This window comes from Homo sapiens, chromosome 4, assembly GCF_000001405.40.
Source record: "Homo sapiens chromosome 4, GRCh38.p14 Primary Assembly".
Classification (NCBI taxonomy): Eukaryota; Metazoa; Chordata; class Mammalia; order Primates; family Hominidae; genus Homo; species Homo sapiens.
In genome coordinates this window covers 57,868,699-57,880,998 of record NC_000004.12, presented here as the reverse complement: position 1 = coordinate 57,880,998, position 12,300 = coordinate 57,868,699, and positions in this window count along the sequence as shown.

Below are 12,300 nucleotides of genomic sequence, written 5' to 3'. Positions count from 1 at the left end.
CAGAGCTGATTACATGACTGGCCCAGAACTCAGAGAAGCTGAAAGAGGTCTGGCAGGAATGGATAGAGCTCAAATGTAAAAGCAAATCTGGATTTAGTAAAAAGAGAATTCATTTGAAGATGACCAAGAGGGCCTTAACTCTCCCCTCAGCTTGATTAAACCTTTGATACCCTTCTTCCTGACGATAAGCACTTTACTTGAAAAAACTTCGAATTATAAATTCTTGATCTACTCCTTTGAAATATATGTAAAGCTTCTTCTAGCCTCTTGCTAGTTTTACCACCCAGAAAACGTATTTCTCAGAAACCTGAGAACCTATCCTTGTGGGAGGGTAGAAGCCTAATTTCCATGGACACCAATTAACAAACACAGATGGACTAATCACAGAAAAACATTTGCAAACTCAGGAATAACTCAAAGTGCTGGACAGATTGCACTGACCAACTTCCCCCTCACATCCTCCAGTACTTTTCCACAAGCTCACCCCAGGACTAAAAAACTCTCCTGCCTTTTCTTTCAGTGGAGTTGGGGAGTGAGTTCAGCCTCACTCCCTTATTATAATAGTCTTAAATAAAGTCTTCCTTGCCTATTTAACTTGTCTAGTGCAAATTTTCTTTGACAAAAGAATGATTGCAAGGGAGAAGAGGGGGGACTATTGCAATAAGGAGAAAGCTGTGCCCATAAGAACTCCAAACATCTCAAGGTTAGGCAAAAAGGGTTTCTCTATTATAGAAAAGAATACCAAAGTTAGACAGAAAGGGGTGTGAGGAAATGGGATGAAGATGTAGCAGATGGTAGATCAGAGAATGTTTTACAGTGAGGCCAGCCAATTCTCAGATGGGGCTGTTAAGATGCAGTCATATGCTGGTCAAAGTTTAAGTACCTGGGGAGGAAGAGAAGCTTAACCAAAGTGTAATTAATAAGTGTATTGTGCTATTCATTAGCGGGGACAAGAACTTAATGTAATCATTTCTGAAACAAAAAAAAAATGGAAGTTTGAAAAGTCTGTGTCTGGTCTTGTCATAGAGAGACCACTGGTGAGTCCTATCTAGGTCATATGAGGAAGAAAGTTTCTTTGCCTAAGCTGTGTTCTGGAACACAAAAGGTTGCATGTGTGTAAAACTATAGGGTAGATTTTCACCTGATCTTTTTTTCTGGGAGCACAGGGCTTGGGTAAAATTCAGAATTGTCAGAAGCCATGGGTCTGGCTGCTGCCCCACACTCACCTATGCTGAATTTCATGGGATAACAGCTGTTGCTTTCTTTCTACCTTCCAGGTCTCTAGCAAATTTCTCTTGTGGCTAACCCTAACTCAGAACCATACAGTGAAGGAAATTCTGAGAAATACAGCTTGGCTAAGTTGATACATCATAAAATCGACTCTGAATTGAGTGAAAAAAATTGAAGCAATGTGATTCTGAACAACTTGAGCCATGAGAATAAATATATCCTAGGCAGGAGGTACCAACTGTATATGGATAAAAACAGTCATAGTGGATAGGGTGTTATGTGTATAAAAATTGTCATTTATTTCTGAAGCATGTCTGGCCTAGTTAATGCAAGCTCCTTGATGTGTCTATAGTACGTAACACCTAATGTCATTAATACTTATTGCATTCTATTTTAATTGCTTTTTGGTGTGTGGGGTCTTCCAAATTAAGTTTAGATTCCCAGGGTCAGGAAATGTTTATACTTTTTTTGGTCACTAGCACATAAGATTGTACCTGAGCCACTGAAGGAGTTCATTACAGGTTTGCTGAAAGAATGGTTGAATGAGATAGTGAGTTCTTTTGAATGATGAACATTGAATTCATAACTCTAACAAAAATATCATGACAAAGGAAAGAAACAAGTCATGTCAAAAATAAAAACTACCTTACTTTTTGTGTTACTCAGCATTCAAACCAGAAAGCACTTTATACTGGTGCTTTGAGTACATCACAAGAAGTTCCCAGAGGCATAGTCAACAGGACAATTATTTTGTAACCAAGGGTTACAGATTATCAGAACTTTTTAAGGCAGATGACTGAAGAAGTTTTTTTTCAGGGCAAAATTCTTATCAACATTTATTCTTTTGGTACCGTTTATTTCCATTTGTTTTAAAAACACTCTATATAAAGAAAAATCATCCACATAGTTACCAGCTCTCTTTTAGAGCATTGACCAAAAAAATGTAATATGTATATACACACCACATAAGAATTATTGCCTTTTTCTTATCATGAAACTGACATTGCCTCTGCTTTATTCGAAACACTGTCCAACGGACTCCCTTCCTGGGGCTGATGGTAACCAAACAGGCTTCATACGCTCTTTTACCTTATCCTGAAAAACCTTACCATAATCCTCTCTGAGTGGTTACCTTAACCCGTCTCTTTCATAATTTTATTACTATTACACTCCTTCCCCATGCTCCTCCCAATCATACATCCCTAAATTGTTTCAGAAGCTTCCTGGTTCCTTACTACTTCTTGTAAGAGAATGGACTGTCCCTCACTCTTAAATATGTCAGCTGATAGTTACTAGAAAATCCAGGAAGCCTGTCTGTAAAAGATGTTTTCATCCCAAATCCCTCTTATTGCCCAGTCCCAGACTTTTTCCCTTTTGGCCCTCCATTTAGCTCATTCTTATAAGTGTTTACACTTAATCCAGAGTCATATAGTCTCCATAACATTATAATATTTCTGCATAATGAATTACACTTATTTAACAAACACTAATGGTGGTCACTATGTGATAGGCTTTGTTTCCAAGTGATTTCCAAGGATGAATTGTGTAAAGCTCACAAAGAATATATAAGAAAGGTGTTATTTCTATCCCCATTTTACAGCTGGGAAAACTGAAGCTTGGTGAGTGTAGGTAATTTACCCAAATTATAACTAATAAGCAGCAAAGCCGTAGTCAAACCTGAGAAACCTGGGTACAAAGACCAAGCTCTTGTTCTCCACACGGTGCTTTCTTCCACGACTTCGAAAAGAAATAGAGAAAAAAAAAATTCAACTGCAAGAAATGACAAAAACGGAAAGACAGATGAAGAAACAGACCTGCAAAGATGAACAACAGCACAGAATGACAGTAATCAGAGAAAAAAAAGAGGAAGACAGGGACAGAGAATGATAGACAGAAATATGTGCTTTCACAAAGACAGAAGCAGAAAAAATAATAGTCAGAAAAGACAGCAGCACAGAGGCCAAAACATTCAGGTTTAAAAATATAGTTTATTAAATATCTTGCTATCTGTGAGGCATACAGTTATTTTTCTTTCTGAACTGCAAGTTATTAGGAGTTAAAGTTGAAATATTTTAAACACACATAAAGAAGTTTGCATTTAGACACAAATGATCTACATGTAAGAATGCTGAGGAATAATTTAAAAGGGAATGTGGAGAAAGCCTGTTAAAATGAGTAGCTTGGCAACGGTAGAGGGCTAGTGACACATTTAGGAAATAATTGGCAATATTGGTTGTTTTTAAGGAGACCCTAGAATTTAGAATGCTAAAGAAATATTGTTTTTTAAAGATATTGGTGGCATGTATGCTAACAAGACTTGGAAAGAGATATGCCTCTGAACTGGGTGAGCTGCAGTCTCTAAATTGCCTGCACAAGAGTCATCCTGGTGACATGCTCAGCGTGCTAATTTTATACCAGAAAAATGTACAGACTTCTTTCAGGTCACAGGGACTGCTGGAAACTTAGGAAGGAGTAGACTTGTAAAAAGCCTAACAGCAAAGTATGTACTGAAAAATTGCCCTGCTTTCCTCTTCGCATTTATAAACTCTGTTGGAGGACGGTCTCCATGTGTTGGAGCATTATCTCCATTTTTTCCACATGCTTTCTCCCTGAAGTGGGAACTTAACTACAGTGAAGTATCAATGTCACCAAGCTGGCAGCCTGTGCTTGTCAGATGTGGTTTTTGTTCTGCACATGGCACAGAAGGAATGGCTAGACATTACTACCCAATTCCCAAAAGTCTCTGAGGAGCTGTTAAGCACCTCCATAATAAAAAGCTTTGTTTTGTAGTTACTTAAGTTCATTCATTCATTCATTCATTCATTCATTTGAACAAGGGACAAATGATTTTCTTCACAATTTTATTGAAGTATAATTGAAGTACAGCAAACCACACAGAGTTGATCGTTTTTATTTGTGAATCCTGTATTTGTAAATTCACCTACTTGATAACATCATGGCACTTTTGTAGTCATCTGAAGATGCGTGGAGTGGTGAAAAATTTGAAAAAAATTTCTCTTTCATGTTTCAGCTCTCAAATTGTAAACAAGTACCCTGTTTTTGGTTGTCCTTTCAGTGACACCAAAAAAATGTGTCCTTTCAGTTGTCCACATTTTTGTGCTTTTTGTTGGTGATTTTGCAGTTTAAAATTGGTCTCTCGAACCTACCACTAAAGTGCTGTCTGATGTTCCTAAATGCAGGAAGTCTGTGATGTGTTTTATAGAGAAAATATGTCATTTGGATAAGCTTCCTTTAGGCATGAGTTCTAGTGCTTTCCACTGGGAGCTCAATATTAATATGTTACAACCAGAAAAGGAAGAAAAAATTTGCCAATCTGTATCTGAGGCTGTTCCAGAAAGTGTTAAAGTAATATTTATAAATGAAGCCATGGAAAACAAAGAAAAGTTAAATTTGTGAATTAATGAGATGATAGCTTATTTTTTCAATTAAAAAAAAAGCATACTGGATAGCATTGTTGTGAGACTGAAAGTCCAAGACATTTATGGCTGTGTTACCCAAGGTCAGGAAAATGTTAAAACCTCCTTGGCTAGTACTGGCCAGCTTGTGTCTTTCTAATGGTGATATCACATAAAAAATGTTAGGCTTCAATGTGAGGCAGGTTCTGCAGATAAGAAGACTGCAGAGGAATTTTAAGAATACCTGCTAAGTGTTACAGGGAAAAAGGTTACGTAGAGGAGCAGGTTTTCAATGCTGATGAGACTGGCTTACCTTACAAGGTCCTTGGCAAATGAACATGTATAATGCAAATGACATTTCGGTTGAACAAAATGTGACCAGAGGCTCACAGGAACCTAACCCTGTATTTCCCAGTAGCAATAGCTGTGTATTTTCTGATTCAGTATTTGTGGTGACTTAATAGAACATAACTACTATGGATAAAGAGAATAGACTATATGTTTAAAGTATACAAATCAATCTATATATACATACGCATACATACATATATATGTATATATGTATGGATGGATATCAAAAAAACTGTCAACACAAGATAATGAACATTTTCATTACTACCCAAAATTTTTTGTGCCTCTTTGAAATCCATCCCTCCTTCTACTTCTATTCCCAAGCACCCATTAAACTGCTTTCTGAACCTAGGAATTAGTTTGCATGTTCTATAATTTCATAAAAATGGAACGTACTCTTTTTACTTCTTTAAGTCTAGTTTCTTGTATCCAGCATGGTGACTGTGAGATTTTTCCATGCTATTGTGTGCATCAATAGTTCATTTCCTTTTCTTGCTAGGTGGTGTTCCATAGAAAGAGTAAACTCATCCACTCATGGACATTTATGTTGATTTTAGTGTTTTGCTATTATAACTAAAACTGCTGTGAATGTTTATGTACGTATGTTGTGGGAACATATATGTTTGCATTCCTTGGTTAAATAGGTAGGAGTGGAATGACTGGTGCAGGTGGTAGGTGTAGGTTTAAATTTTTAAGAAATCTCCACACTGTTTTCCAAAGTAGTTGTACTGTTTTACACTCCTAACAGTGTCATATGAGAGTTCCAATTACTCTACATATTCCTAACACTTGGTATAGTCTATGATAACTTTTAGCCCTTTGTAGCTCATTGTGGTTTCAGTTTGCATTTCCCAGCAACTAATAATGTGAAATATCTTTTAATGTGTTTTTTTGGTCACATATACTCTTTTATAAAGTGACCTTTCAAGGGCCAGGCATGGTGGCTCACGCTTGTAATCCCAGCACTTTGGGAGGCCAAGGCAGACGGATCACCTGAGGTCAAGAGTTCGAGACCAGCCTGACTAACATGGAGAAACCCCGTCTCTACTAAAAATACAAAATTAGCTGGGCGTGGTGGCACATGCCTGTAATCCCAGCTACTTGAAAGGCTGAGGCAGGAGAATCGCTTGAACCCGGGAGACAGAGGTTGTGGTGAGCGGAGATCGCACCACGGCACTCCAGCCTGGGCAACAAGAGTGAAACTCCGTCTCAAAAAAAAAAAAAAGTGACCTTTCAGATCTTAACTATTTTTAAATTGAGTTGTTTTTATTACTAAAGCTTTAGAGTTATTTATATATTCAGTTATAATCCTTTTGTTTGATACATATGTTGTGAATATTTTCTTCCAGTATGTGGCTTGCCTGTTTGTTTTCCAAATGGTGTCTTTCAATGAGCAAGTTTTACATTTTGATGAAATCCAATCTATTTTCTTTTATGTTTTTGGTTTTTGAGTTTTCACTAAGAAATTTTTACTCATTCAAAGCTTGCAAAGATTGTTTTTCCTATATTCTTCCTGGTATTTTATAGTTTAAATTTTACATTTAGGTCTACAAACTATTTTGAGTTAAATTTTGTTATCAATATAAAGCAAGGATCAATGTCCATTTTTTCCCAAATGAATATCCAGTTGATCTAACATCATTTGTTGAAAAGAATTAATTTCCCATTGAATTGCAGTCTTTGTAAGAAAGTCATTTGTATGGTCTATTTCTAGATCATATCCATTATATTCCATTGATTTAGTTGGCTATCTTGTCAATATCACACTGTCTTGATTACCGTAGCTTTATGGTAAGACTTGATGCCAGTTAAGGTAATTCCTGTAACTTTGTTATTTATATATTTCTCTTTTTTCATTATTCTAGATCCTGTGCATTTTCCTATAAATTGTAGAATCTCCTTGTCAAACTCTACCCATGAAAAGTCCATGAGATTTTTAATTGGAAATATGTTGACTTTATAGAGCAAATGTGTATTAGTTTGCTAAGGCTGCCATAACGAAGTACTACAGGCTGCATGGCTTAAAGTACTGAACCTGTGATTTATTTTTGCACAGTTCTGGAGTCGAGAATTGTAAGATCAAGGTATCTACAAGAGTGATTCCTTCTCAGGGCTCTATCCTTGGCTAGTAGCTGGTCTTCTTCCTGTGTCTTCACATGGCATTCTTGGTATCCTAATCTCCTCTTCTTATAAAGACACCAGTCATGTTCAATTAGGGTCCACCCTAATGGCCTCATTTTAACTTAATTACTTCTTTAAATATCCTATCTCCAACAATAGTCAGATTTGGAGGTACTGAGAGTTAGAACTTCAACAAATGAATTTTGAGTAATTTTGACTTTTTTCCTGAGTATTGTGAATGTTATGTTTTATAGACTCTGGATCTTGTTGTAATCCTCAACGTTAATGTGTTTATTTTGGCAGACAATCCAGCTAGGTTCAGACCTTAAGTTCTTTTTTCTTTTATGTTTAATTAACAAATAATAATTGTATATATTATGGGGTACAATGTGATGTTTTGATACATGGTTACAATGGGGAATGATTAAATCAAGCTAATTAGCAAATCTATTACCTCACATACCATATTTATGTACTGAAAATATTTTAAAAATCTGTTCTTTTAGTAATTTTGAACTATATGATGCATTGTTATTTATTATAGTCACAATTCTGTGCAATAGATCACTAAGGCTCATTCCTCCTGTCTAACTGAAATTTTGTACCCTTTATTCAACAACTCCAGTTGATGTTGGATAATCTCCAGTTTTCCCACTCACCTTCCACCCCTAGCCTCTGGTAACCACCATTCTATCTGCTTTTTGTATGAGTCTGACTTTTTTAGATTTCGTATTACGTGAGATCGTGTGGTATTTGTCTTGTTGGCCCAGCTTATTTTACTTAGGTTGATGTCCTCCAGGTTCATCCATGTTGTTGCAAATGACAAAATTTCCTTCTTTTTAAAGGCTGAATATATTCCATTGTGTATATATCTTATATTATCTTTATCCATTCATCTGATAATGGACACCTAGGTTGCTTCCACTAGGACAGACACTAGGCATAGGTTTGGGGTGGGGGAAAGAAATATGCATATAACCAAACTCATATTTGTTTCCTTCCTCTTCCTTTCTCAACTAAATTGTTTTTCCAGTGAGACAGCTACATTACCAATTGTGATGTGACATAATAAATGTTATAATAGAACTGTAGAATAGTGCTATGAGAATGAGTGTAACTGGGAAGTGGCCTTCTGAGAGATTTGGGCAACTTTCATAAAGGAGAGTGCTGATGAACACAGAGAATTTTTGGGAGAATCTTAAAGGATGTCAAACAGTTTACCAGGCAAAGAAAGAAGAAGAAGTAAAAGGCATATTTGAATCATGGCAAGTCATCTGAAGGTGCCTGGAGGATGTAGTAAAGAGTGTAATAGGATGAAGATGGGAAGTTTAAATTGTTCATGGATTTGCATGCAATAGTATAAAGTTTACATTTTATTATGTAAGCAGAAGTGTTTATATTTTGAATTATCTTTCAAGTCTATTCTTTTTATGCTCTTACCTGAGGGAATCTCTAAACAACAGTCATAAAAATGATCATGCTCACTCTCCTGATTTTCAGCATTGCAAACATACACCAGAAATGTCCTTGGCACAAAAGATCTGCATAAAATGAGCATGCAGAAATCTGGCAACATTTCTTCACTAATTAGTCAACTGGCAACAGTAAATTGATGACAATAAATCTGAATAATAATGTATAAAAGCAGAAAAAAAGAAGATATATTTTGAACCTCAGAATCTTAGCAAGAGAAATTCTAACTCAAAACAAAAACCGTAGATATTATCTAGGATGATCCACTGAATTGCACATTCTAGAAATTAATGTTTACAATAGAGGACTGAAGTTACAGCCCAAACTCTGTTCCCATGGGCATGGGAATTTTGAGCTCAACAAGTTCTGGAACTGAACCTAATAACAACTAGATGTTTGACTGGAATGTTTCTATCATCTATACTCCTTAAAATAATCACATCCCAGTTAGAATAATGGCCATGATAAGGTCTTAACATATGCACGCCTGAGGAATTGAGTTTGCCTGGGAAGAGATGCAATTGATTTGTATAATCTTTACCCTAACCAAAAGGGGTAAAATAGAAGTGAAAAAGATGATTACTTTTGTTTTAATTTGGATTTATTTTAACTAATGTTCTGTGTACCCTGTATTAAACAGTCATAACTTTTATCCATAATTCAGATAATTTGAATATTTCTTTATTTCAAATTTAGAGATTCTTATGGCTCACTATTATTTATTGATGGATTTTAGATTGATGATTTTCTTTAAAATGATTATTGTTCTTTGCACATTTGGAAATCAAGCCCCACAAATCTTGATACATTGTGGGGTGGGGGGCAAAGGTGTCAGAAGAATTTAATGAATGTACAATTTTAGTGTGAATCCAAAAAAATAACGATTTTCCCAAAGTGCTGGGGATACCTACTTTCTAATGTGTTTGAGTGGTTTCCAGGGCCTAAAACTGCAAGAGCAGTGTCTAGTGTGCATCAGATGCTCCACAAAAGTCATCTCACAATGATGTTTGATAGTGGCAGTGGCTCCTTCCACACAGTCCTGTAAGGTCCTCTGTCTCCCTCTACTACAGCAACTAGTGCATTCCATGGAATTATATTTTATATGTTTCTTTTGCACACTATTGACTCTTCAAGGAAACTTGTCTTATTCATTTTTATATACTTAGAATCTAACATGGTGTTTGGCATATTGTAGACATACTTCAAGTATTTGTTAAACTGTAGTAGAATGTTTGAGAAGTAACAAGGATACTTTCAAAACAATGAGAATTATTCACATATTTCCTGTACAAATACTTATTTGATGAATGACTATTAATGTGTACATTGAATAAATGAACACTTGAGTAAAATCATAAAGCAAGGTTTTTTTCTCTGTAACTATCCTTGCACACCTACTGGACTCCTTTCTCCAGACTCTGCAGACTCAAATATCAAGAAGCCTTTATAGATTTTCAAGCCATCCAAAAGTTCCTGGTCACTCTCAGCATAAGAGTTTTACCTTAGTAATGAACATATCAAATTCAATGCACAAATATAAACACTCAGCAAATAATTGGAATAGGCTGACTGTAGTCTGGGAAGACTGCAGTGAATCAAGGGAGTGAGCATAGTCAATTCAATAATCTTTCTCTGTTCCTCCCTCTTGTCTTGTGATAACTGTAGAATTGGGTCAGGAGAAGAGACAAGGGACAAGACAATCTCATTTAAGAAATAATCTGGCATTTGTGTGCTCAAGTTCAACACCAAATCTTTTTATCTTGGAACACTTTAGTGGTTTTCTTTGAGATTTCAGTGACTGTAGCCTTACTTGTATCAGGCAGTGCCTCTTCACTGTTGTGAGCTGTGTGACACCCCCTCAACTTTCTCTTTTAACAATACACCTCCAATGTCTTTCTGCCCAGAAAGGCCTCTTGGACAATCTCTGGGAGCACCTTCCCCTTACATGATCACATCTGGACCATAAAAAACACTCCTCTGTTCTATCAGCAAAGGCAGTACAGCCTTTGTTCCCATTATAATCACTGACAGATTTAGATGTATTAGTCAGGGTTCTCTAGAGAAATGGAACCAATGAGATGTTGCTTAACAACAGTGATATGTTTTGAAAAATGCATCATCAGGTGATTTCTTCATTGTGCAAACATCACAGAGTGTACTTACACAAACCTAGGTAATATAGCTTACTACACACCTAGGTTATATGGTATATCCTATTGCTCCTAAGCTACAGATGTGTTATGGTACTGACTACTATAGGCAATTGTAACAAATAGTATTTGCGTATCTAAACATATCTAAATATAGAAAAGGTAATGCACTGCACTATGATGTTTTTGTAGCTATGACATCACTAGGCACTGGATATTTTTTACCTCCATTATAATCTGTATATATTTTTTTAAGATGGACTCTTGCTGTGTCGATAGGCTAGATATGAACTCCTGTCCTCAAGCAACCCTCCCATCTCAGTCGCTTGAGTAGCTGGGACTACAGGCATACAACACCATGCTACGTCCATTATAATCTTATGGAATCACTGATGTATATATGATACTGTATATATATACCCACACACACATGCACACACACATACAGTCTCTCCCTTTATATATATGCACATATATATGGTTTTTATATACCTTTTGACCTATATCTAGGTGTGTACATATATAGTATATATGTGTATATATACATATATACGTCTAGGTGTATATATACACATTTATAAGTATATGTATATAAATACACATGCACACCTAGATATATAGAGATCTGCACTCTCTAGGTATGTGTGCATGTGTATATATATATATATATATAGTCTCTAGGTATATAGAAGTAATGCTCCAATCATATATATATATATATATATATGTATATGTGTGTGTCTCAATGGAGAAACTGTGTGTGTGTTTGCATGTGTGTATATATATGGTGTATATATAGTACATATATATGGTGTGTGTATATATATATATATTTGTGTGTGTGTGTGTGTATATGTATATGGAGTCCTCGGTACAATTTTTTATATATATATATGATATATATTATATATATGATATATATTATATATATGATACATATATTATATATATGTGTGATATATATCACATATATATGATATATATATCATATATATGATATATATTATATATATATTATATATGATATATATGATATATATCATATATAATATATATGATATATATATATATTTTATAAATATATATATATATATATGTTCCTCTTCCACACTATTAACTCTTTAAGGGAACTTGTCATTCATTTTTATGTACTTAGATTGTAACACAATGTTTGGCATATTGTAGACTACATACAAATACGGCTTGGAAAACTGTATACATATATACAGTTTAACAGATACTTGCAGTATGTCTCATATATATATATATATATATATATATATATATATATATATATATATATAAAAGGACAGAGAGAGACAGTGGGGGGAGAGAGATAAAGAGAGCAAACGGGTGAGACACAAGGAATTGGCTCATGCAAGTATGAAGGCTGAGAAGTCCTAAAATCTTTAGTCAGAGAGCCGTAGACCCAGGAGATCTGAGGATGTAGTTCTAACACTACCTCAAAGGCCTGAGAACCAACTGATAGTATAAGTTCCAGTTCAAAAGACAGCAGGCCTGAGAAACAAGAAGAGCCAAAGTTCCAGTGGAATATTGAA